The 27,885-nt window shown below is 41.8% G+C and overlaps 1 long non-coding RNA gene and 1 pseudogene across 2 annotated transcripts, besides 1 other annotated feature; both read left to right on the top strand.

Moving 5' to 3' along the window:
- Positions 1-337: 337 nt before the first annotated feature.
- On the top strand, positions 338-23,246 carry LOC107985382 (uncharacterized). Of its 2 annotated transcripts, XR_001754727.2 has the most exons (4): positions 338-417; positions 6,034-6,104; positions 19,339-19,532; positions 23,035-23,246. It is a non-coding gene; the product is annotated as an uncharacterized LOC107985382 (long non-coding RNA). The 2 variants fall into 2 exon arrangements; XR_001754726.2 differs by lacking the exons at positions 338-417; positions 6,034-6,104 and adding an exon at positions 11,526-11,687.
- Positions 1,994-2,546: an enhancer, noted in NCBI's record as "OCT4-NANOG-H3K4me1 hESC enhancer chr20:57540701-57541253 (GRCh37/hg19 assembly coordinates)". NCBI's record gives its function as "activates a minimal SCP1, AML or CMV promoter by ChIP-STARR-seq in naive H9 embryonic stem cells {active_cell/tissue: H9 hESC(naive)}" and the evidence as "EXISTENCE:reporter gene assay evidence [ECO:0000049][PMID:30033119]".
- On the top strand, positions 19,804-20,103 carry LOC112268264 (small integral membrane protein 30-like; annotated as a pseudogene).
- Positions 23,247-27,885: the final 4,639 nt, after the last annotated feature.

Here is a 27,885-nt window from a genome sequence, read left to right as displayed (position 1 = left end):
ACGGGTGCCCTGAAGGGAGGTTTGAGCAAGGCGGCCCCTTACGGTTTCTGCACCTGGGTGCGGAGTACAGAGGCACTTCAGGGAGGACTACCCAGCTCCTGCCTTCCCTGAGAACGGCCTGTCCCCCAACGCTTTCTAAAGGGACAGTGCCAGCTTCTGTGTCAGCGTTCCATGCCCTGATCTCACCTGGCCATGGCAGATTGGACTGGGGTGGACCCTTGCCCCAAGGCTGGGCAATTAAGTTCTCTTTCCTAGGTATTGAAACTGGGACCAAAGACTGCAGTTCAGAGACGTTGGTGGCTGCAGCAGAGAGGTGGTGCAGGGCTGGAGCTGGGGAGTCAGACACCGCTGAGCTGCAGGGCCGAGGGGTCATGTGGTTCCTGAGAGACACCACAGTACACTCTTCTGACTTACTAGGTACTGATTCTTCATGAGTAACTGCATTTTTGACCATTGTTGCCATGAGGTCCCATTCCTTTGTCCTTCCAATTAATTCCTTTTTTTGCTTGACCTAGCTTGAATGAGTGAGCAAATGTGTCCTAAGATTCTAAGAAACTTTTAGAACAATCTCACTTGTGTCATTTTCAGTTATTTCACTCTTCGTAATATAATTTCAATGTCTCTTACCTTTATATTCAGCTTTATTGGAGGAAATTAATTATTAATAATTCCATACTATGTTACATTTACCTAATCCTGTTGATAAATACTACTGAGTGGCTTGGGGACTCCTTTAAATGAAATTTTCAATTTATCGCTTCCTTGCTGGGTTGGTAAGGAAATTTGGATTCAAGAACTAGGCTGGGCGTGGTGGCTCACATCTGTAATCCCAGCATTTTGGGAGGCTGAGGCAGGTGGATTACCCAAGGTCAGGAGTTCAAGACCAGCTTGGCCAACATGCTGAAACCCAGTCTCTACTAAAAATACAAAAACTAGCCAGACATGGTGGCATGCATCAGTAATCCCAGCTACTTGGGAGGTTGAGGCAGGAGAACTGCTTGAACCTGGGAGGTAGAGGTTGCAGTGAGCCGAGATCGCACCACTGCACTCCAGCCTGGGCGACAGCAAAACTCTGTCTCAAAAAAAAAAAAAAAAAAAAAAAAAAAAAAGCCGGGTGCGGTGGCTCACACCTGTAATCCCAGCACTTTGGGAGGATGAAGCGGGCAGATCACTTGAGGTTGGGAGTTCAAAACCAGCATGGCCAACATGATGAAACCCTGTCTCTACTAAAAGTACAAAAAATTAGCTGGGTGTCGTGTCATGTGCATGTAATCCCAGCTACTTGGGAGGCTGAGGCAGGAAAATCGTTTGAACCTGGGAGGTAGAGGATGCAGTGAGCTGAGATCACGCCATTGCACTCCAGCTTGGGTGACAGAGCAAGATTCTGTTTTTTTTAAAAAAAAAACAAACTAGATAGTAACCTAAGTAAATAGACAATTTTGGCTCACGCCTGTAATCCCAGCACTTTGGGAGGCCAAGGCAGGCAAATCACGAGGTCAAGAGATTGAGACCATCCTGGCTAACATGGTGAAACCCCATCTCTACTAAAAAAATACAAAAAAATTAGCCAGGCATGGTGGCGGGCGCCCGTAGTCCCAGCTACTTGGGAGGCTGAGGCAGGAGAATGGCATGAACCCGGGAGGTGGAGCTTGCAGTGAGCCGAGATTGCACCACTGCACTCCAGCCAGGGTGCGAGTGAGACTCCATCAAAAAAAAAAAAGAAAGAAAATAGAGGATTTATCATAAATTCCCTTTATGTGGAAACAAAGACAGGTGGGCAGGGAAAACAGCCACAGGCTGTGGAATGCTGTCAGGACTCTCCTCATTCTGCATCTGCTGCCGTCTCCCTCTCTCAACAGAATGTCCCATGCATTTCAGTTTACATAGCAGAAAGTATCAACAGTGCCTATATCCAAGCCCCACCATTTAATAAGTTATTCAGGTGAAGACTGAAAGCCAGTAGCACAGTGGCTCGCACCTATCGTCTTAGGTACTTGAGAGGCGGAGGCAGAGGTGGGAGGATCGCTTGATCCCAGGAGCTGGAGGCTGCAGGGAGCTATGATTGGGCCACTGCACTCCAGCCTGGGTGATGGAGCAAGACCCTGTCTCTAAAAACAAACGAACAAAAACCCATGCAATATTCTAGCCTCGAGTCCAGTATCATGCGTTAGAGACTCTGATAACCTAACCTAGATGATGGGTCTATTCCTGGATCAAGAAAATGTGGCCTTGGGGCAAGAGAGGGCTACCAAAGACACGAAATGGCTACCAGGAACTCACCATTGTTACAGCGCTCTGATTGACGAGCTTGAGTACTGTGTATTGTGTCTCTCAGCAAGCACATTGTAGCCACAGCCCTGCAGCTAAGCGGTGTCAGACTCCCCAGCTGCATCCCTGCACCACCTCTCTGCTGCAGCCACCAGCATCTCTGAACTACAGTCTCTGGTCCCAGTTTCAATACCTGCGAAAGAGAACGTAATTGCCCAGGCTTGGGGCAGGTATCCACCCCAGTCCAATCTGCCATGGCCAGGTGAGACTGAGGCATGGAACGCTGACACCATTCCTTCAACTGGGGGAACAGGCAGTTCTCAGGGAAGGCAGGAGCTGGGTGGTCCCTCCCCAGGGGCCCCCTGTGCTCAGCGCCCAGGTGCAGAAACTGCCAGGGGCCGCCTTGCCCAAACCTCCCTTCAGGTCACAATATCTTGAAGAGACCTGTCCAGAGATGCTGCCTTGCTTTCTGTGACCCAGCTCCCAGGCCACACCTGATTGGAGCAAAGGAGGGTCCCCGTAATGGTCAGGACCTTATGACCTGGAGTGAAAAAGAACAAAAGGGCAGGTGGGAGGAAATGAACCAGTTCCCCTGAGCAGGACAGACAGAGTCACGGTGGCCTCTGGAAGGACTGCACCCAGGGACTCGGGACACTGTCTGTGCATACACACACACACATATATAAGCATATATACATTAGCATATATAGAAGCATACATATAACCAAGTAAGTTGTTGGTATTATTATTTTGAAGAAAGTGCTATCTTTTAAATCAACTAAGAATAAGAAAAATAGAAATTGTTACTTTACATTGACTAATTTCTTCTCTGATGCTCTTCTTTTCCCTATGCAGATCCAAGAGTCTGACCTATACCAATTTCTTTTTCTCTAAAGAACTTCTTTTAACATTTTCTGCATGACAGATCTACTGGCAACAAATTTCCTCAATTTATGTTTGTCTGAGAAACTCTTCATTTCTCCTTGACTTTTGAAGGACAATTTCACAGGGTACAGAATTCTAGGTTGGAGAGTTTTTTTCTCTCAACATTTTACATATTTCACTCCACTCTCTTTTTGCTTGCATGGTTTCTGAGAAGCTGGACGTAATTCTTTGTAAGAATTATGAGGCAGGATTTTTTTTCCTTAGACTTCTTTCTGATTTTTTCTTTATCTTTGATTTTCTGTAGTTTGAAAATGGTATGTCTAGGTGTGGGTTTTTGTTGTTGTTGTTTTTGTTGTTTTTGCATTTATCCTGTTTGGTGTTCTCTGAGTTTCTTGGCTCTGTGGTTTGGATCATGAATTTGTAGAAACTCTCAGTCATTATTATTCCAATATTTCTTCTGTTCCTTTCTTTCCTTCTTCTTCTGGTATTACACTATGCATCTGTTACCCCTTTGTAGTTGCCTCATTGTTCTTGGATATTTTGCTCTATTTTTTTTAAGTCTTTTTTCCTATTTGCTTTTCATTTTTGGAGGTTTGTTTGTTTGTTTGTTTTTGAGATGGAGTTTCGCTCTTGTTGCCCAGACTGGAGTGCAGTGGCACAATCTCGGCTCACTGCAACCTCCACTTCCCAGGTTCAAGAGATTCTTCTGCCTCAGCCTCTTGAGTGGCTGGTATTACAGACGCCCGCCACCACACCCAGCTGATTTTGTATTTTTAGTAGAGATAGGGTTTCATCATGTTGGTCAGGCTGATCTTGAACTCCTGACCTCAAATGATCCACCCACCTCGGCCTCCTAAAATGCTGGGATTACAGGCGTGAGCCACTGCGCCTGGCCTCATTTTTGGAGGCTTTTACTGAGATATCCTCAGGCTCAAAGATTCTTTCCTCAGTTGTGTCCAGTCTACTAATAAGACCATCAAAGGGATTCCTTTTTTCTGTTACAGTGTTTTTGATCTCTAGCATTTCTTTTTGATTCTTTCATAGAATTTCTAACTCTCTGCTTACATTGCCCATCTGTTCTTGCATGATGTATACTGTGTCCATTGGTGCCTTAGCACACTAATCATGGTTCTTTTAGATTTCTGTTCTGATCATCCGACATCCTTACCACATATGAGTCTGGTTTCGATGCTTGCTCTGTGTCTTCAAACCATGTGTTTTTTTTGTTTGTTTGTTTGTTTTTTTGCCTTTTAGTATATCTTGTAATTTTTTCTTGATTGCTGGACATGATGTACTAGATAAATGGAACTGTTGTAAATAGGCCTTTAGTAATGTGTTGGTAAGGTGTAGGGAGAGGAGAAGCATTCTGTAGTCCTATGACTAGGTCTCAGTCTCTCAATGAGCCTGTGTTCTCAGACTGTGAGTTTCACAAGTGCTTCTCAGTCCCCCTCTCGTCTTAGGGGGATAGAACAGCCAGAGTGGGCTGGAGTTGGTGATTTCCCTTCTCCCGTGTGGAAGGCTGGGGCCACCTAGGTTTTGAGTTTTTTTGCTTTGTTTTGTTTTGTTGTTTTGTTTTTGGCCTGGGTCAGTTAGGTTCTGATAAAAGCCCAGCTGGTTAGGCTCTGGTTAGTTTCTCCTGTTGACAGACCTTGTAAAAAAGAACAGAATGCCCTGGTATATTTCAAAATGATTCCTTTTCCCGTCCCTCTGCCAGGAGCCTGAGGGGATTTTTCTCTGACATTCACTGTGAGGACCCAGTAGCGCTCCTGGAGGTCAAACACAGAAGTGGCGGCGGGGGGTTGGGGGGGGGCACCCTGACGACTGGGTCCCCCTGGCATTTTTATCTCTTAGACTTGTTCGCATGGAGCCCCCAGCAATTCCTGACTCTCCGTTTGGCCTCTTTCCTTGCTTTTCTTTCTGTAGTGGACACTGTGGTGCTCCAGCCAGGTTCTCTGAGAACCCCTGACCAGCTTGGCACATGCATCTCCCAGCTTCTGAGGTCTGTGTTTCTAAGGGCTTGCACTTGCGACTATCTTCAGTCTATCTTGGGTTACTGATGCCACCTCCCAAGAACTCCCCAAGAGCAGAGATGCTGGAAAGTTTATATGTCCTTGGGGCAGAGTTCTTAGCCAATGACTGACACATGCAGGAGTATGAAAACCAACCTCAACGTAGGACCAACTCTGAAGTGTAATTTATGCTCTAGAGATACCTAGAGGATCATGATGAAGTGAGATTTTGCAAGATATGACACCTCACTTCACTAATCAACTTCTCCTGGGAGTAAATAATTATTTGCACGTGAATTGTCATCTCAGGGTCTGCTTTAGAGAGAACCTGACCTAAGACAGTCATGCTTGCACTGCACAGTGCATATGTATTCATTCAGGCTCTTTGAGCTATAAGAAGTAGAAAACGGGCTGGGAGCTGTGGCCCACGCCTGTAATCCCAGCACTTTGGGAGGCCGAGGCGGTTGAATCATGAGGTCAAGAGTTCGAGACCAGTCTGGCCAACATAGTGAAACCCCGTCTCTACTAAAAATACAAAAAATTAGCAGGGTGCGGTGGTGTGCACCTGTAATCCCAGCTACTGGGAAGGCTGAGGCAGGAGAATCGCATGAACCCGGGAGGGCAGAGGTGGCAGTGAGCCGAGATGGTGCCACTGCACTCCAGCCCAGGTGACAGAGTGAGACTCCGTCTCAAAAAGAAAAAAAAAAAAGTAGAAAACCAAATATTGGCTAATGTATCTGGGAAGTCTGTGGGCTGACCCAGCTTCATGCATGAATAGGTCCAGAAACTCAAACAAGAAATTAGGAACCTGCCTCGTCCTGTATTGCTTCAGTTTCTTGCTCTTAGTTGGCATCCTCTTCTCTAATGGCAGGCGGACTTTGTCTACACACCAGGGAAGATGGCTTCAGGCAGTCCACATACTCCCATGCCTATGACACAAAGGTAAGGCTGATTATTCTCTAACTCCACTGCCTTGGTAAGGAAGGAATTTGATTGTGGCAGCAAAGGTCAGATGTCCTCTCTGGACCAATCTATCTGGCCATGGCGGCAGTTTTTAAGGTTACTTGTGGATTGCTGTCCAGCATCCATTTCCCCTCCTTCTATAGCCTCCCATTTCCTTTAGAAACTCACTCTCCCCCATCAATGTATCCCATCAACAGGAATGGAGTGACTGGTTCAGGATGGATGTGCAGCCCAATCGGGGCCTGACAGGAGAATTACACTGGGGCCTCCTGAGAAAGGGAAGTTTCCTTTTCCTTCTGTGAGAGCCAACAGGGCACTCTCTTTCCCAGGGAAGAGTGGCATAGGGTTGTTACCTTGGTAAACTGGAATGGTTTTTTTTTTTCTTTTCAGACAAGGTCTTGCTCTGTCACCCAGGCTGGAGTACAGTGGCATAATCTCAGCTAACTGCATCCTCAGCCTCCCCAGTAGCTGGGAACACAAGTGTGCACTACCACACCCAGCTAATTTTTTTTTTTTTGTAGAGATGGGGACTTGCCTTGTTGCTCAGGCTGTTCTTGAACTCCTGAGCTCAAGCAATTCACCCGCCTCAGCCTCCCAGAGTGCTGGGATTACAGGTGTGAGCCACTGCACCTGGTCAACTGTACCTTTTGCCAAACTGAAAGGGGATTTTAGAACTGCTGGGGGCACATTACACGGAGCCAGAAGGTGATATCAATACTGCAGAAAAAGAGGGGAGAGCGACAGGGAGGGGAGGAGCAGAGCAGGAGAGGAGAGGAGGCAAGTGAGGTGGGCAGGTTCTTGATGATGTTATTAAGTTGCTGTATCAAACTTGCCTGAAGTCTACTTCTGGACATTTTTGCTTTTGAGCTAATTTTGTTTAATTTTTTATTGTAGGAAATTTCAAACATATAGAAAATTAGTAATAATAATAAATCTTCAATAATTATCAATTCAGCTAATCTATGCCATCTACGTTTGATTTAGTACTCACTAACCCTCCCTACATAATTATTTGAAGCAAATTTCTATCAAACATCTTCATCTTAATATGTCAAATAAGTATTTAAAACACACACCGTGAGACGTTACACATAATATATATTAACCATGATACATATTATATCAACTATGATATTATGATACCTAACAGAATAATTTCTTTTTGTTTTCTGAGATGGAGTCTCACTCTGTCACCCAGGCTGAAGTGCAGTGGCATGATCTCAGTTTGCTGCAACCTCCACCTCCTGGGTTCAAGCAATTCTCCTGCCTCAGCCTCCCAAGTAGCGGGGATTACAAGTGCCCACCACCATGCCCAGCTAATTTTTGTATTTTTAGTAGAGTTGGGGTTTCATCATGTTGGCCAGGCTAGTCTTGAACTCCTGACCTCAAGTGATCCTCCCACCTCAGCCTCCCAAAGTACGGAGATTACAAGTGTGAGTCACTGTGCCTGGCCAAGAATAATTTCTTAATATCATCAAATATCTAATCAGTGCTACATTTCCCACATTTTTCTTCAATGTTTATGTCCTTTGGATCAGTAATTTCCGTTGATCTTTCCTCTGCCATCTCAAATATGGTTTTGAGCCCATCTAGTAAAATTTTAATTTCATTTATTATACTTCAGAGCTCTAGAATGTCCCCCCAAATAGCTTCCATTTTTCTATTGTAATTTTATATCGGCTTATTCATTTATACCATATTTTCCTTTAATTATTTGAACATCTTTCTATCCTCTTGGAAGCCTTTGTCTGCTAAATCCAACACCTGAGTTCAGTCAGATTCGGTTTTTATTGACTGTCTTGTTTTCTGGGTATTTTTTGGTTGTTGTTGTTCTGTTTTGTTTTCGGGGTCTTGGGGGGGCATGTTTGATAATTTTGGGTTGAAAATTGGACAGTGTAAGTAATACAATGTGGACTCTGGATTTTGGTGTGTTCTTCTGAGGGACGTTGTCTTGTTGTCATTCTAATAGGCAATTAACTTGCCTGGATCCAAACTACCAAGTTTTTTTTCCCCTGTAGTGTTCAGCACCTGAGACCTCTGTCCTATGCAAGTTTCTCACTGCTGCTTTTTCAGCCTGGGCCATGGGGGTCTCCCTTGTCCCTGCTTAACTTTGTGATCAGCCTTGTCCCTGCTTAACTTGGTGATGAACTCAGCATCTCTGTGGCTTCTTGTTTGTGCAGGTTCCTGCCTAATTCCAGCTGCTCTGCGGGCTTTCGGGTCTGTCTTAAGATAATTGCGTTCCTGTAAGACTTTCGTGCTTGTTCATTCAGTCTGTGTATGGTTGGGGAATGGACTCAGAAGGAACAAGAAACAGAAAGCAGACTCACAGATCTCACCTCCTACATAGCTTATCGTTCGAGAGATTTCTCCTTGGTCTCTGCCTCCTTTTTCACCAGGACCCTGAGAAGTTTCCCCTGTGTGGCTTGTTTTCCAGCCAGGGAATCGGGCAAAGTTTACATTCAGAATTTGTTTCGCTCCTTCAGTGAGTCTTTCAATGGCAGTATTTCCTGTTAAAATTCCCAGCCACGGGCTGGGCACAGTAACTCATACCTGTAATCCCAGCACTTTGGGAAGCCAAGGTGGGTGGATCACCTGAGGTCAGGAGTTCAAGACCAGCCTGACCAATATGGTGAAAATTTGTCTCCACTAAAAATACAAAAATTAGCCAGGCATGGTGGCATGTGCCTGTAATCTCAGCTACTTGCGAGGCTGAGACAGGAGAACTGCTTGAAGCCAGGAGACAGAGGTTGCAGTAAGCCAAGATCATGCCACTGTACTCTGGCCTGGGCGACAGCAAGATTCGGTCTCAAAAAAAAAAAAAAATTAATTAATTAAAAAAAAAAATCCCAGCTGCGTTTCTCCGCTTGCACTCTGATTGATAATTCCTTGAAACACTGAGGCTGTGGTTTCACCGCAGATTTCCACAGCTAGTAGCTGTGGGGATTGGGGAATAAGCTCAGGTCAGAAAGTTACAAATGTACAGGTTTTGCCACTTCCAGTTGTGTTTTATATTAAACTTTCCTCCAGTTTCTGCCTGGTTTTGGACATTTTCCGTGTCTTTAAATAGTGGGGTTTTTTTGTTGTTGTTTTATCCAGTTTTTACTTTTGTTACGTACGGGAGGGTTTGCCCCTCTGTCCTGACCTCATTCACTGGTTTTAGCATGCATCAATACATCTTCCCTCAATTAATTATTACGAGGGCCATAAGATAATTTTCTAATTTCATCATCTTCTCTTCTATATGTTGTCACTGGCTTTCTATTGTCAAGATCTCCCTTCTCCCTTGTCTGTTTATACCAGTGAGGAGTTATTATTATTATTATTATTATTATTATTATTATTATTTTTGAAACGGAGTCTCACTCTGTTGCCCAGGCTGGAGTATAGCAGTGTAATCTCAGCTCGCTGCAACCTTGGCCTCCCAGGTTCAAGCAATTCTCCTGCTTCAGCCTCCCGAGTAGCTGGGACTGCAGGTGCACACCACGACACCCGGCTAATTTTTGTGTTTTTAGTAGAGATGGGGTTTCACCATGTTTGCCAGGGTGATCTTGAACTCCTGACCTCAGGTGATCCAGCTGCCTTGGCCTCCTAAAGTGCTGGGATTACAAGCGTGAGCCACTATCCCCAGCCTCATATTATTATTTTTATAATTATCCATTTTTTTATATTGAAATTATCCCAAGTGGGAAGACTTTCAAGCCAGTTTCTGTGTCATCTAAATATGTCTCCATCTTCTTTAGAACTTCCTTACTTTCTGGTACAAGAAAGTGCTCCAGGCTCCCCGAACCAGCCCTCTGGTATAATCATAAAACCAGGAACATTGTTGTTTACTATCATTATCAAATCTTGTATATGCTGTAGGAGCCCTGATTTGTTTGGGGGCGAACAGCATTTAGGAACTAAGATATGACCACTAGGCCTGCTCATTGATACAGAGCTCTTTCAGTATCTGAACTCACACACATTTAATTAGAAAATAAATATATATGCACACTACAGTCATGTGCCACATGACATTTTGGTCATGGGTGGACTGCATAGATGACAGTCCATAAGATTATAATGGAGCTGAAAAATTCCTCTTGCCTAGTGACCTCATGGCTGTCAGAAAGTTGTAGCACAAGGCATTCCCCACGAATTTGTAGTGATGCTGGCATAAACAAACCTACTGAACTACCACCCATATCAAACTATAGCATATACAATATATAATACTTAATCATAATAAAAAACAATGTTGCTGGTTTATGTATTTACTATACTATGCTTTTTAAAAGTTTTATTTATTTATTTATTTATTTATTTGAGATGGAGTTTCGCTCTTGTTCAGGCTGGAGTGCAGTGGTACCATCTCAGCTCACTGCAACCTCCACCTTCCGGGTTCGAGCAATTCTCCTGCCTCAGCCTCCCAAGTAGCTGGGATTACAGGTGCCCGCCACCATGCTCAGCTAATTTTGTGCGTGTGTGTATTTTTAGTAAAGATGAAGTTTCACCGTGTTGGCCAGGCTGGTCTTGAACTCCTGACCTCAGATAATCCATGCACCTCAGCCTCCCAAAGTGCTGGGATTACTGGCATGAGCCACCATGATGGCCTATACTATATATTTTTTTATCATTGTTTTAGAGTGTATTCCTTCTACTGATGAAAAAAAGCAAAGTTAACTGCAAAACAGCCCCAGGCAGGTTCTTCTGAAGATATTCCAGAAGAAGGCATTGTTATCATAGGAGATGCCAGCTCCATACCTGTTATTGTCCCCAAAGACCTTCCAGTGAGACAAGACATGGAGGTGGAAGACAGTGACTTTCATGATTCTGACCCTGCGTAGGCCTAGACTAATGTGTATGTTTGAGTCTTAGTTTTTACTTTATTTGTAAGTGTGTCTTAGTTTTTAACAAAAAAGTTTAAGAAGTTAAAAAAAATTTAAAAGAGAAGAATGCTTATCAAATAAAGATATAAAGAAGGAAAATATTTTGTATGGCTGTACGATGTGTTTGTGTTTTAAGCTAAGTGTTATTACAAAAGAGTCAAAAAGCTAAACAAAAGTCCCGGCATGGTGGCTCACGCCTGTAAAATCTCAACACTTTGTGACGTCAAGGAGGGTGAACCACCTGAAGTCAGGAGTTCAAGACCAGCCTGGCCAACATGGTGAAGCCCCATCTCTACTAAAAATACAAAACATTACCCAGGCATGGTGGCAGGCACCTGTAATCCCAGCTACTCAGGAGGCTGAGGCAGGAGAATCGCTTGAACCTGGGAGGCAGAGATTGCAGTGAGCCGAGATCACACCACTGCACCTTAGCCTGGATGACAAAGCAAGACTGTCTCAAAAAAAAAAAAAGTTAAAAAATTTTAAAGTTTATAAAGCAAAAAAGTTACAGTATTCTAAGATTAATTTATTATTGAAGAAAAAAATGTTATAAAATGAAGGTAGTGTATCCTATGTGTACAGTGTGGATAAAGTCTACAGTAGTGAACAGTGACGTCCTAGACCTTCACATTCACTCACCACCCTCTCACTGACTCAGCCAGAGCAACCTCCAGTCCTGCAAACTCCTTTCATGGTAAGTACCCTACACAGCTGTACTATTTTTTATAATCATTTATACTGTATTTTTACTGTATCTTTTCTATGTTTAAATACACAGATACTTACCATTGTGCCCACAGTGTTCATTACAGTAACATGCCCTACAGGTTTGCAGCCTAGGTATGTAGTAGGCTATACCATCTATGGTTGCATAAGTACACTCTAGGATGTTTGCACAATGATGAAATTGCGTAATGACATGTTTCTCAGTATACATCCCCATCGTTAAGCACCACATGACTGTCTATAAAATAATGTATAGACGTATACACGTACATGCGTACAAACATGCATACGTATGCGTGTTTGTATTAGCTCCCATGGTGTGTTTTAACATGTTCTTTTGTCCCTTGTATTTCCTTGAAATCACTATGTTGATCTAGAAACTCGGTCAGATTCAGAATTTTTGTTTCTTTTAAGATAGGATCTAATTCTGTTGCCCAGGCTGGAGTGCAGTGGCACTATCATAGCTCACTGTAACCTCCATCTCCTGGGCTCAAGTGATCTTCCCACCTCAAACTCCCATGAGTAGCTGGAACTAAAGGCACATACCACCACGCCTGGCTAATAGATTTAATTTTTTAAGGCTAAACTATTTCCTGTGTAGTGTCGTGTGGTTCCAGTAGGAGTTATGTAACATCTTTTTTTTTTTTTTTTTGAGACAGAAACACTGATGTGTGAACATAAGCTTTCATTCCTCTTGAATTGAATTTCATTCCTCTTGAATATCTAGAATTCGGTTTTTTGAGTCATATGGAAAATATAGGTTTAACTTTATAGGAACCGCCAAAATGCTTGTTTATTTTTAATTTTTTAAAAATAGAGATAGGGTCACACTAGGTTGTACTATGTTGTCCAGACTGGTCTTGAACTCCTGGACTCAAGTGATCCTCCTGCCTCCACGCCCCAAAATGCTAGGATTATAGTGGTGTGAGCCACTGCACTGGCCCCAGATTGTTTTTTCAAGTGGATGTATCATTGTGCATCCCCGCCAGCAGCAAATGAAAGTTCCAGCTGCCCTACATCCTTGTCATCTTTGATATTGTCAGGTTTTTTCTCGATTTTTTTTGCTTTTTAGTTTTGTCTTTGCAATAGCTGTATCATACTGTGGCTTTAATTTGCAATTCCCTAATGACTAATGCCATTGAGAAGCTTTTTTTCTTTTCTTTTCTTTTTTCTTTTTTTTTTTTTTTTTTGCACAGAGTAACAAAACTGAGCCATGGAGCATCATTTTATGTGCATATTTGCTGTTTTTTTAAATTCAAATCCTTGTTCAAACATTTTGCCCATTTTTGTATTGAGGTCTTTGCTTGTTTGTTCTCATTTTTTAAATTTTATTTCAATAGTTTTTGGGGAACGGGTGGTTTTTGGTTACATAGATAAGTTCTTTAGTGGTGACTTCTGAGATTTGGTGTACCCATCACCTGAGCAGTATACACTGTACCCAATGTATAGTCTTTTATCCCTCACCCGCCCCTAGTCTCTGACATCCATTGTATCATTCTTATGCCTTTGTGTTCTCATAGCTTAGCTCCCACTTACAAGTGAGAACATACGATATTTGATTTTCCATTCCTGAGTTACCTCACTTAGAATAATGGTCTCCAATTCCATCCAGGTTGCTGTGAATGCCATTATTTCAATCCTTTTTATGGCTGAGTAGTATTCCATGGTATGCGTGTGTGTGTGTGTGTGTGTGTGTGTGTGTGTGTGTGTATCACATTTTCCTTATCCACTTTGTTGGTTGATGGGCATTTAGGCTGGTTCCATATTTTTGCAATTATGAATTGTGCTGCTAGAAACATGCCTGTGCAAGTGTCTTTTTCTATTTTTTCTTTTTGAGACAGAGTCCTGTTCTGTCAACTAGGCTGGAGTGCAATGGTGTGATCTTGGCTCACTGCAACCTCCGCCTCCTGGGTTCCAGAGATTCTCCTGCCTCAGCCTTCTGAGTAGCGGGGATTACAGAAACCTGCCACTACGCCCGGCTAATTTTTGTATTTTTAGTAGAGACTGGGTTTCACAATGTTGGCCAGGCTGGTCTTGAACTCCTGACCTCAAGTGATCCACCCGCCTTGACCTCCCAAAGTGCTGGGATTACAGGCGTGAGTCACTGCGCCCGGCCGTGTCTTTTTCATACAATGACTTCTTTTCCTCTGGGTAGATACCCAGTAGTGGGATTGCTGGGTCAAATGGTAGTTCTCCTTTTGTTCTTTAAGGAATCTCCATACTGTTTTCCATAGTGGTTGTACTAGTTTGCATTCCCACCAGCAGTGTAGAAGTGTTCCCTTTTCACCACATCCATACCATACCACATCTATTTTTTTAAAAAATTATGGCTGTTCTTGCAGGAGTAAAGTGGTATCTCATCATGGTTCTAATTTTCATTTGCCTGACAATTTGTGATACTGAATTTGAGAGATCTTTATATATTCTGGATATAAGTCTTTTACCATACACACACTTTGCAAATATTTTCTCCAAGTCTGTGGTTCCTTTTTTCATTTTCTTTAGCAGTAACTTTCAAAGAGCAGAGGTTCAAAATTTTAATGAAGTCCAATTTATTCATATTTTTCTTTTATGGATTGTGTTTTGATGTTATCTTAGAAATCTTGGCCTAACCCATAGTGACATACATTTTCTCCTAGAAGTTCTGTAGTTTTGGCTTTTATGTTTACACCAATGATTCATTTTGAGTTGATTTTTGAGTATGGTGTAACATCTGGGTCAACTTTCCTATTTTTTCATATGGATATCCAATTATTCCAGCATCATTTGTCAAAAAGACGATCATTTCTCCATTGAATTGCCTTCATCTCTTTGTCAAAAATCAATTGGCCATATAGGTGTGGATCTTTCTTTGGATTCTATTCTATTCCATTAATCTATGTATACATTGATCTATGTATCCATCCTTTCAGCAATAACAAACTGTATTGATTATTGTGACTTTGAAGTAACTCTTGAAATCATCAGGTATTTTGAGTCTTTCAACTTTGTTCTGTTATTTTGGCACTTCTAGTTCCCTTGCCTTTACATACAAATTTTAAAATCAGGTTGTTTACTTCTACAAAATTCTAGGATTTTGTTTGGGATTGCACTGAACTTATAGGTTATTTTGATGGAATTTATATCTTAATAATATTGAATCTGCCAATTCAAAAATATGGATCATCTCACCATTTATTTAGATCCTATTTTCTTTCTTTCATCAGTGTTTGGTACTTCTCAGTATGCTGATCTTGCACATATTTTGTCAGATTTTAGCCTACATATTTCATTATTTTCAGTGTTCTTATAAATGGTACTTAAAATTTTTTCATTTTTGTAATTATTTATGGCTAGTCTATAGACATTCAATTAATTGAACTGACCTTGCATACTGTGACCTTGCCAAATGCCTTTACTAGTTCTGGGAGATTTTAAAATAGAATCTTTTGTATTTTCTACATATACAATCATGTCACCTTTGAATCAAGAGTTTTATTTCTTTATCACTAATCTATATTGCTTTTTTTTTTTCTTGTTCTTGCTTTATTCCACTGGCTAGGGCCTTCAGTATGATGTTAAATATAAATGGTGAGAGTGAACATCATTGCATTGTTCTTGATTTTAGGAGAAAGTTTTCAGTCTTTAATCATGAAGTATGACATTAGTTGTAGGTTTTGTGTAATTGCCCTTTGTTTGATTGTGAAAGTTCCCTTCTGTTCCTAGTTTTGGAGAGTTTTTATAATGAATTGATGCTGAATTTTGTTCAATTATCTTTTTTTTCTTCTATTGAGAAGTTTATATAGTTTTTCTTCTTGGGTCAATTGAATTACATTCATTGATTCTTAAATGTTGAACCAATTTTGCATTTCCGGGATAACTCCCCCACTTTGTCATGATGCATTATTCTTTTTATATGTTGCTGAACACAGTTTGCCAGTATTTTGTTGAGGATTTTTGTTACCTATGTTTATGAGGGATAATGGTCTAAAGGATTTTTTTTCTTGCAGTGTTTATTTCTGGTTTGGGTATTGGTGTAATGGCCTCATAAAATTAGTTGGCAAACATTTCTTCTTTTCAATTATCTGGAAGAATCTGTGGGAAATTGTATTATTTCTTCCCTAAATGTTTAGTGGAATTCACCACTGAAGCCATCTAGGCCTGGAGTGTTTTTGTTGAAAAAAAATTTTTTTTTTTTGAGACGGAGTCTTGCCCTGTCCCCGAGGCTGGAGTGCAGTGGTGTGATCTCCGCTCACTGCAACGTCCACCTCTCAGGTTCAAATGATTCTCCTGCCTCAGCATCCCGAGTAGTTGGGATTACAGGCACCTGCCATCACGCCCAGCTAATTTTTGTATTTTTAGTAGAGGTGGGGTTTCACCATGTTGGCCAGGCTAGTGAAATATTTTAAATGACAAATTCAATTTCTTTGATATATACGGGAATATGTAAGTTATTTATTTTCTCTTTAGTAAGCTTAGGGAGTTTGCATTTTCCAAGGAATTTGCCCATTTCATCTAATTTATCAAATTTATAGGCATAATATTGTATTAAATATTCCTTTATCCTTTTAATGTCTAAGATCTACAGTGTAATATTTTTCATTCTTGACATTAGTGATCTGTTTTCTTCTTTTTCTTGGTCAGGCTAGAGGCTTATAAATTTTGTTCCTGTTTCTGAGGAACCAGTTTTATGTTTGATTTTCTTTATTATTTTTGTTTTCACTTTCATGAGTTTCTGCTTTTCTCTTTATTATTTGCTTATTTCTACTTGCTTTGGGTTTAGTTTACTCTTCTTTTTATAGTTTCTTAAGGTGGTAGCTTAGGTCATTGATTTGATAGCATATATATATATATGCTATTAGTTTTCCTCTAAGCACTGCTTTAATTGCATCCTATACTTTTGATAAGTTGTTTGTTCGTTTTAATTCAATGCAAAATATCTTTAATTGCCCTTTTGACTTTGACTCATGGGTTATTTGAAGTGTGTTAATTTCCAAATATTTCAGGATAATCCAGACTTCTTTTTGTTATTGGTTTTTAGTTTTTAATTCCTTTGTGTTCAGATAACATACTCTATTTAATTGCAATTCTTTAAAAATTGTTGAGGTTTGCTTTATTTCCTAGAATGTAAACTACTCTGGCATATGTACTACAAGCATTTGAAAAAAAAAGTGTGTTCTGTTTTTGTTGTGAGGAGTGTTTTATAAATGCCACTTATATTTCTTTCATTCATAAGACATTTTTGTTAGGTATTCTATGTCTTGTCATTTAAAATGTTTCTACCAATAAGAACCTATTATCAGGCTGGGCACGGTGGTTCACGCCTGTAATCCCGGTACTTATGGGAGGCCAAGGCAGGTGGATCACCTGAGGTCAGGAGTTCGAGACCAGCCAGGCCAACATGGTAAAACCCAGTCTCTACTTAAAATACAACAATTAGCTGGGCATGGTGGCACATGCCTGTAACCCCAGCTACTTGAGAGGCTGGGGCAGGAGAATAGCTTGAACCCAGGAGGCAGAGGAGACAGAGGGTGCAGTGAGCCGAGATTGCGCCATTGCACTCCAGCCTGGGTGACAGAGTGAGACTGCGTCTCAAAAACAAACAAAACAAACAATAACAACAAACAAACAAACAAAAAACTGTTATCAGCCTGGATTGTTTGCCCAATCCTGTGGCCACAAGTCCAGGGTGATCTGATTGGCGCCCTCTTCTGTATTGCATGGCTAGAGTTGAGGGTAACTTTTTTCCAAAGGCATCTGGGCTGCTGACTAGACAAAAACAATAAAATGTTCACTGCAGTCCACCGTTTGATTTTCTTTTTTTTTTGATTTTTAATTTTAACTTTAAAAAATTATTTATTTATTTTATGGAGATGGAGTTTCCCCATGTTGCCCAGGCTGGTCTCAAACTCCCTGACTTAAGCAAACTCCTGGACTGAAGCTATCCACCAGCCTTGGCCTCCCAAAGTGCTGGGATTGCAGGTGTGAGCCACTGTTCCTGGCCTATGCTTTGATTTTCAAAGGCTCATGCACACCTACACCTGTGCACAGACACATGTTCATAATCCCAGCGTGTATGAAGTTGAAAATTTTTCCCGTATGCGTCTTTTAAATAACTCAAAACCTCCCTTCTTTTACAAATTAAGACCATGTTCAGTCACATTCAGTTAAAACATAGCTCCAAGCCCAGCTTCACTGTGTGAGATGCATACTCCTTTTGATCATGTTTGAACATTATTCCTCTTGTTTCAGCAGCCTGTGTGCTAGATGATAAATGAACACACTCCTACCCATCCAAGGAGGCTGTGGTGCAGAACAGCCAGAAAAAGTACCCTCTGTTGGGTGTGATGGCTCAAGCCTATAATCTCAGCACTTTGGGATGCTGGGACAAGAGGATTGCTTGGGTCCCGGAGTTTGAGACCGGTCTGGGCAACATAGTGAGATCCTGTCTGTACAAAAAATTTTAAATTAGCCAAGTGTGATGGTACGTGCCTGTAGTCCCAGCTACTCAGGAGGCTGAGGTGAGAGGATCGCCTGTGCCTGGGAGGTTGAGGCTGCAGTGATTGTGTCACTGCATTCTACCCTGGGCAACAGAGCAAGACCCTGCCTAAATATACTATATATGAAATATATATGATGAATGAAATATATATATTATATATGGAGTATAATATATATAATATGTGGAATATATATGATCTATATTATATATAGAGTATAATATATAATATATATAAAATATGTATTATATTATATATTAAATATATATATTATATATGAAATATATAATATATATGAAATATATAATATATAATATTTATATAGTATATTTCAAATATATATTATGTTATATATTCTATATATTCTGGTTGGTGCAATAGTAATTACGGTTTTGGACTGTGATTTTAAAATTATAACTAGGCTCAAACACATCTTTATTAATCAAAATAGGAACCATTACAATCAACACATTTTTACCAAAGAGAAATAAGTTTGTTTATTCCTGTAATGTAAAAATCTGTGCGTCGGGATTCGACAAACTCTTGGAAAGCATTTTCTGCATGCTGCTGGTTGTGGAAGCGTTTTCTCTGGAAAAAGTTGTCAAGATGGTTGAAGAAGCAGTAGTTTGTTGGTGAGAAGTCAGGTGAATATGGCAGACGAGGCAAAACTTTGTAGCCCAATTTGATCAACTTTTGAAGCATTGGTTGTAGGACCTGCGGTCAGCATTATCCTGGAGAAGAATTGGGTCCTTTCTGTTGACCAGTGCCGGCTGCAGGCTTTGCAGTTTTTGGTGCATCTCATCGATTTGCTGAGCACAATTCTCAGATGTAATGGTTTTGCCGGGATTCAGAAAGCTGTGGTGGTCAGACCGTCAGCAGGCCACCAGACAGTGACCAGGACCTTTTTTTGGTGCAAGTTTGGCTTTGGGAAGTGCTTTGGAGCTTCTCAGTCCACCCACCGAGGTGGTCATCGCTGGTTGTCGTATAAAATCCACTTTTTGTCGCACATCACAATCCGATGGAGAAATGGTTCATTGTTGTTGTGTAGAATAAGAGAAGACGACATTTCAAAACGACAATGTTTCTGATTTTCGCTCAGCTCATGAGGCACCCACTTATCGAGCTTTTTCACCTTTCCAGTTTGCGTCAAATGCCGAATGACCGTAGAAAGGTGGACGTTGAGTTCTTCAGCAGCTTCTGGTGTAGTTGTAAGAGGACCAGCTTCCGTGATTGCTCTCAGTTGGTGGTTGTCAACTTCCGACGACTGGCCGCTACGCTCCTCATCTTCAAGGCTCTCCTCTCTTTTGCAAAACTTCTTGAACCCCCACTGCACGGTATGTTCATTAGCAGTTCCTGGGCCATTGATGTTGCGAGTTGTCTCCACTGCTTTACAATCCATTTTGAACTCGAATAAGAATATTGCTCAAATTTGCTTTTTGTCTAACATCATTTCCATAGTCTAAAATAAAGAAAAAAATAAACAGCAAGTAATAAGTCATTAGCAAAAATAAATAAGTACAGAGAGAAATGCTCATTAAGATGATGTATGACATAACCACATTTAAGAATGTATTGCAGTCCTGTAATGGCTGCTTCCTGGAAGGTAGTGTCACGTGGAACCTCTTAATCTCAGCATCCGGAGCTCCAGGAAGGGAAAATTTCAAGTCAGATAGAATTCTATATACACCATTTCTTTGGAACCTTCAGCCCTCAAGATTCCAACATCATGACCTCAGTTTCAACACAGTTGTCCTTAGTCCTCATGTCACTGCTTTTGGTGCTGCCTGTTGTGGAAGCAGTAGAAGCCGGTGATGCAGTCGCCCTCTTGTTAGGTGTGGTTCTCAGCATTACAGGCATTTGTGCTGCTCGGGAGTATATGCACGAAAAAGAAATGGACAGATGTGAGTGTGAAAGGCCTACTGAGTCAAACCTCACCCTGAAAACCTTTGTGCTATAGAGGCTAAACCTGAGCTTTGGGGTCTGAAAGTTTCCAAGAATCAGTAAATAAGGGAGTTTTACATTTTTCGTTGTTTCCATGAAATGGGAACAGACATACATATATGAATTGAAAAAAATATGTTTTCTTTACAACAAATAATGCACAGAAAAATGCAGCCTATCATTTGTATTTGCTAGTTAGAAAGGAGGTCAAAGAAGTAAGATAGCTGAAATTTACATAAGTAATATTTCATAGTTTTAGAATTCTCAAAGAATGTGAAATAGGAAGAAGGAAGTTCTTGCCCAGAATCTTAGGAAATCACCAATGTTCGGTTATAATCACTGCCTCCCGAATCGTTGGGGAGTTTTCTCCATCTTTTTATTAGATTTTTGTTTTGTTGTCTCCCAAGTTAATATTGTATTTAGATATAAGAGAGTCAGCCAAAAAGGGAAACTTTTTTCTCTGGAGAAAAAACATTTCGAAAAATGTATTCAGTGTATCTAATACTGAAATGCAGAAAAAAATTAATGTTAAAAAAAACTATAGACGTTGACATGGAAAAGAGATTTAATGTTAAGAAAAAAACTTTACATTAACTTAGCAACACCCTCCTGATAAGTACTATATTAAATATAAACCCATTATGTTGTTAAAAGAAGAAGGTATTCCAATATCCAACGGCAAATTTCAACAATGCAAAAACTGCAATTACTTTTGTACCAACCGTATATTATATGGATATATAATATATATGTATCTTCAAGATAACTGTTCCTCTTTTTTTCCTAGTCTATCAACGTGTTGCTTTTAATGTAATAGACCAATTAGCTGTTACGTGCAATGTTCCATTTCACTGGGAACAATGTATGTTCCAAAAGGAGAGAGGAATCTGAGAAGAACTGTAAAGGAGTAAAAGGAAACATCATCTGGTATTTTCTCTTTCATGATGGAGAAAAATGCGTTTGCACAATCAAAAGTGTATATACCAGGGCCAGGCACGGTGGCTCATGACTGTAATCCCAGCATTTTGGGAGGCCAAAGTGGGAGGATCACTTGAGGCCAGGAGTTCAAGACCAGCCTGGCCAACATGGCAGAACCCCATCTTTACTAAAAATACAAAAATTAGCTGGGTGTGGTGGCACATGCCTGTAGTCCCATCTACTCAGGAGGCTGAGGATCGCTTGAACCCAGGAGGCAGAGGTTGCAGTGAGCCAGGATCACGCAACTACATTCCAGTCTGGGCAACAGGGAAAGACTCTGTCTCAAAAAAAAAAAAAAAGTGCATACCAGGCTAAGTGCAGTGGTTCATGCTTGTAATCCCAGCACTTTGGGAGGCCAAGGCAGGCGGATCACTGGAGGTTAGGAGTTCGAGACCAGCCTGGCCAACATGGTGAAACCCTGTCTCACTAAAAATACAAAAACTAGCCGGGCATGGTGGTGCACGCCTGTAATTCCAGCTACTCGGGAGGCTGGGACAGGAGAATCGCTTGAACCTGGGAGGCGGAGGTTGCAGTGAGCTGGGGTCACTCAACTGCACTCCAGCCTGGGTGACAGAGAGAGACTCCGTCTCAAAAAAAAAAAAAGTGCATAACAGTTTCCAGGCATTGTATTGATTTTTCCTAGTGAGAGGAAAATGGGAGTTGGGTTGGGATCGACACTTGGAAAACCACCTGATTAAGCTAAGGCTAATTCAACTGGCACCCTGTGCAGCAGCTGAATTGCAGATTCAGTGGGGATGTCACAGGGGTCACCAAGCACACCCTTTCCAAGTGTTTGATGTTTGGGACTATCTACAATATACTACAACCACTGAAATGTGTACTTAAAACATTTTTTAGAGGTAACAATGCTTTTGGTTGCTATTTTGGAGGAAAGAGGAAGTTCCAGTGTCTCGTTTTTGGCCCTGCCCACCATGGTGGCATTTACTCCAGGCCTTAACAAGCCAATAGGTGATGATGCCTGATTCTGAGGAGATCCATCTATCTATCTACATCTGGACAGAAAAGACCCTCGGGGTGGGCTTGCTATTGGTGGACTCGATCCCCACTCCATCTCTGGATCCACATAGACCTCACTCCAAAGGGCAGACCATGGTGATGTCGAGGTTCCTAGGATCCCAATAATTCGCATTACTTAGATTTGATCCAGTATCCAGTAGACCAAAGGTTTTGGTATGTTCTTTCTCCCAGGGCACATTTCTCTTTGGGGAAATGTGAGGAAGAAGCCTTCCAGGTTGCCTTGGTGATTATGTGGGTCTCAAGGCTACCTAGACCATGTTACTTATGGTCTCCGGTCTCTAGACGAGAGACTCTGGATCAATGAAGTGACCCAGCGTACAGAATTAGATACCAGTTCTTGACTTCCTTATGTCTTGATTTTCATTAGACCTGGACTTATTTTATTCTTTTTTTTTTTTTTTTTTTTTTGAGACAGAGTCTCACTCTGTCACTCAGGTTGGAGTGCAGTGGCACGATCTCAGCTCACTGCAACCTCTGCCTCCCAAGTTCAAGCGATTCTTCTGCCTCAGCCTCCTGAGTAACTGGGACTACAGGCTCCTGCCACCACGCCCGGCTACTTTTTGTATTTTTAGTAGAGACAGGGCTTTACCATGTTGGCCAGGCTGGTCTCGAACTCCTGACCTCAGGTGATCCGCCCGCCTCGGCCACCCAAAGTGCTGGGATTACAGGTGTGAGCCACCGAGCCCCGTCTATTTTATTCTATTTTTATTTTATGGTTGCATACAAAAGGATGGAGCACCTGTCACTATAATTCCTGGGAACCCTCTAATTAACCACAACTAAAGATCTCTGGGCCTTGCACCAACCATGTTGTGAACCTAATAAGCACACCTGCCTTGTTGCCTATTATGATTACCCGGCCTCCTTGGCTTCTGGCAGGTAACTGTGGCCACGTGGACCAAGCCAACGCCGGCTCCTCTCATTCCCATTGAGATCAGCAAGGCAACTCCAGCCTGTACCACCAATATCCCCAGGCCAGGAGAACAGCCAGTGAAAGCCCATTTGAAAGACTGCCATATTCCTCACCAATCCGTTTCTCAAGGCCAAGGTGAGTGGAGAGCCTTCCAGCCCTCACGGGAGCCACATGGAGGCGGGAGGAGCTGGTAAGGGGGAAACCCACTGCAGTTCCAGTGCGGCATTCCTGTCTCCTGAAGTCTTTGAATTCTTTCTCTGTCTTATGCCAAAGTGTCTCTGGCTTTGCCATGTCATTTTGCACAGAGCAGCATTCAGAACATTAGCCAAAGCAGCAAACTGCTAAAGCAGCTGCCCACACCCCCTGAAAGAATGCACCTAAATCAATAACTTCATTCCAGGTGAGAAATAAACGCCACCCTCTATGCCTGGGGACCTTAAGTCCCTTCTCATGATGACTATACATATCTTTTGTTTGCTTTGTTTTTGTTTTTATTTACAGTATGACTATACATATTGGTGCAGCCATGCTCTTCCTTCAAGAAGCAATTCTTCATTCTCCTTCCATAATAATGCATTTCACTCCCAGGCCTGGTTGAGTTTCAATTCTGGTTACCAGCCAGGTAAAAATGTGTAGTAGCAGGGCATGAGAGCGTGGTTATTTTCCCTCAAAGGGCGAGGACTCTTCCTAAGGGAGGAGAGGCACAGTGGAGTGTTGTAGAGTGGTAGGACCGGGGGAGTCTCGGAATATTTCTGGATATTTTTATTCCAGTTCCATCTTGTCGGGCTTTCTTTCTTTCTCAACCATTGCCCTCACTTTTGGTTAAAAGTACTGTAGGCCAGGCATGGTGGCCCATGCCTGTAATCCCAGCACTTTGGGAGGCCGAGGCGGTTGGATCATGAGGCCAGGAGTTCGAGACCAGCCTGACCAAGATGGTGAAACCCCGTCTCTACTAAAAATACAAAAATTAGCCAGGCCTGGTGGCGGGCACCTGTAATCCCAACTACTCGGGAGGCTGAGACAGGAGAATCACGTGAACCCAGGCAGCAGAGGTTGCAGTGAGCTGAGATTGCGCCACTGCACTCCAGCCTGGGTGACAGAGCGAGACTCCGTCTCAGAAAAAAAAAAAAAAAAGAAAAAAGTACTGTAGACTGTGAATTCAACTGTGTTAATATACAAGCTGCAGGTTCAGTCTCGGATGGGTTCAGTTTTCAGCCTACTTATAACCAGTTACAGAGTTTTTAAAAACTTAGTTGTAGAAAGACTTGAATATCCCCTTTTTTTTTTCTTTTTCTTTCCCTTTTTTTTTTTTGGATACACAGTTTCACTCTGTTGCCCAGGCTAAAGTGCAGTGGCGCAATCTCAGGCAACCTCTGCCTCCCAGGTTCAAGTGATTGTCCAGCCTCAGCCTCCCGAGTAGCTGGGATTACAGGCACCTGCCACCACACCTGGCTAAATTTTGTATTTTTAGTAGAGACGGGGTTTCACCATGTTGGCCAGGCTGGTCTCAAACTCCTGACCTCAAGTGATCCACCTACATTGGCCTCCCAAAGTGCTGGGATTATAGACGTGAGCCACCTTGCCCAGCCAATATTCCCTTTTTTGAGGCAAGCATTTTTAGATTTGGGTTACTATCATTTTTAATTTGGCCAGTGCTCACAGAAGCCACCACTGTATTTCATATTGCATGTCTCGTCCCCTTTTAATTGGCCTCTAGATGATGATAAGGGAAAAAGGCAAGGCATATGTATAATATGCTACTAATTTTATTGAGAAGTAATTCACATATTATAGAATACATTTTTTAAGTACACAATTCAGTGCTTGTAGTATATGCACAAGGTTGTACAACCATCACCATTATCCAGTTCCAGAACATTCTTATCACTCCAAAAAAAAAAAAAATCCTGTTCTCATTAGCTGTCACTTCCCATTTTTTCTTCCTCCAGCAATCTGTTTTCTGTCTCTATGAATTTGCCTCTTCTAGGCATTTCACATAGATGAAATCATACAATGCATTGACTTTTGGGTCCAGCTTCTTTCGCTTAGCATGGTGCTTTCAAGGCTTAGTGTGTTGTGGCATGTATCAGTATTTCATCTTTTTGGCTGAGTAGTATTCTATTGTATACATTTTTAACACAGTTTGTTAACCAGTGGATAGACATTTGGATTGTTTCCACTTTGGGCTATTATGAATAACATAAACGCTGGAGTACAAGTTTTTGTGTGAATTTGTGTTTTCCTTTCTCCTGGGTATACACCTGGGGGAGAAGTGCTGGCTGATACGGCAAGCGGCTGCACTGTTTTACATTCCTTCCAGCAGTCTACGGAGGTTTCAATTTCTCCATTTCCTTGCCAGTGTAGCTATCTTTGATTATAGCCATGTGAGTGAGTATGAAGTAGAGTATGTTGCCTTTTATGTAAACACAAGAAAGAAAAATATATCTGTGTGTAATTGCTTAGATATACACAGAGTGGCTCTGGAAGCTTACATGGGAAACTGGCAACACTGGTTGCCTCTAGGGAGAGGAACTGGGTAGCTGGTGGCTGATGTAGAGGGGAGATTTTATGCCACCCACCCTTCTCTAAGATATTAAGTTTAGAGCATGTGCAAGTATTACCTATACAAATAATTAAATTAATATGAACTTTAAATTTGGCCGGACACGGCAGCTCACACCTGTAATCCCAGCATTTTGGGAGGCTAAGGTGGGTGGATCACCTGGGGTCAGGAGTTCAAGACCAGCCTGGCCAACATGGCAAAACCCTGTCTCTACTAAAAATACAAAAATTAGCTGGGCATGGTGGCATGCACCTGTAATCCCAGCTACTTGGGAGGCTGAGGCAAGAGAATTGCTTGAACCTAGGAGGTGGAGGTTGCAGTGAGGGGAGATCATGCCACTGCACTCCAGCCTGGGCAACAGAATGAGACTCTGTCTCCACAACAACAACAACAAAAAATTAAGTTAAATGTATTATAGCAGGGATTGGCTAACTATAGCCTGTGTACCAAATCTGGCCTGCCACCTGTTTCTGTATGGCCCGTGAGTTAAGAATAGTTTTTACATTTTTAAATAGTTAAACAATCAAAAAAAGAATATTTTGTAGCACATGAAGTGATATGAAATTCAAGTTGTAATATCCATAAATAAGCTTTTATGGGGACACAGCCATGCTAATTTGTTTACTTTTTTCCATGGGTGCTTTTGTGCTGCACTGGCGAAAGTGAGGAATTGTGCCAGGGGCTGGATGTAGCATTCTCATTGCCTTAAACTGCCACTTGGCACAATGAGAATTGCAGTTACACAGTTAAAAAACAACAGGATTTTGAGTGCTACATATATTGCCACACTCTAACTTTAAAAAAATTATGAGTACATATCTTTCATGTTAAAAAAAGAAAGAAGATAAAAGTAGACTTTGAATGTCTGTTTCTAAGGCATAATGGGGTGTGAATTATTTTCTGTCACATCACATGACAAAACATTGTATCTTGTGCGATGACGTGCTAGCTCTTCTAGAAGAGGATGAAATGCATCAACATTGCAGAGATCATGGCAGAATTTCTTCACAGAAATTAAAAATGACAAAGAATCCATAACTAAAGTAAATTATCAAGTAGTTCGTTTGTTAACCAAGAAAGAAATCTGTTTATAAATGGTAAGTTAATTACATGATGTTTGATTACAATGGCTGAATAAATGTACCCAGAAAAAGCAAACTTGTTTAAGAATATTAGCCTTGCATTGAGGATAGTTGGTTGAAGAGTTTGGGACATTGGGAGTAGCATCAATAGTCCACTAAAAAACAGGGAGTTTTTTTGTTTGTTTGTTTTGTTTTGTTTTTTGAGATGTAATCTCGCTCTGTTACCCAGGCTGGAGTGCAGCAGCGTGATCTTGGCTCACTGCAATCTTTGCCTCCTGGGTTCAAGCGATTCTCCTGTCTTAGCCTCCTGAGTAGCTGCGACTACAGGTGCACACCACCACACCTGGCTAATTTTTGCGAGGTTTTTTTTTGTTTTTTTGTTTTGTTTTGTTTTGTTTTGTTTTGGGGTTTTTTTTGAGATGGAATCTTTCTCTGTTGCCCAGGCTGGAGTGCAGTGGCGCAATCTTGGCTCACTGCAACCTCTGCCTCCTGGGTTCAAGCGATTCTTCTGCCTCACCCTCCCGAGTATCTGGGACTACAGGCACGCACCGCCACACCCAGCTAATTTTTGTATTTTTAGTAGAGAAGGGGTTTCACTATATTGGTCCTGCTGGTCTCAAACTCCTGACCTCAGGTGATCCACCTGCCTCAGCCTCCCAAAGTGCTGTGATTACAGGTGTGAGCCACCGTGCCTGGCCAACAGGCAGTTTTTAAAAATCTTGAGAAGTCAATGCCCAATTTTAAGTGACTGGAGGAGTAGCTTTTATACATGTAACAGCTATAGGGGAGAATTTTTTTTTTTTTTTTTTTTTTGAGATGGAGTCTTGCTCTTTTGCCCAGGCTGGACTGCAGTGGTGCTATCTCAGCTCACTGCAAGCTCTGCCTCCCGGGTTCACGCCATTCTCCTGCCTCAGCCTCCCAAGTAGCTGGGACTACAGGTGCCCGCCACCATGCCCAGCTAATTTTTTTTTTTTTGTATTTTTAGTAGAGATGGGGTTTCACCGTGTTAGCCAGGATGGTCTCAATCTCCTGACCTCATGATCCACCTGCCTCGGCCTCCCAAAGTGCTGGGATTACAGGCGTGAGCCAGCGCGCCCGGCCAGGGGAGAATATTTTTAAAGAAGTTGAAAAAATATTAATTCATTACAATCAGAAATGGAATCTATTAAGGT

Source organism: Homo sapiens, chromosome 20 (assembly GCF_000001405.40).
Source record: "Homo sapiens chromosome 20, GRCh38.p14 Primary Assembly".
Classification (NCBI taxonomy): Eukaryota; Metazoa; Chordata; class Mammalia; order Primates; family Hominidae; genus Homo; species Homo sapiens.
This window is presented reverse-complemented; position numbering and strand designations above follow the sequence as displayed.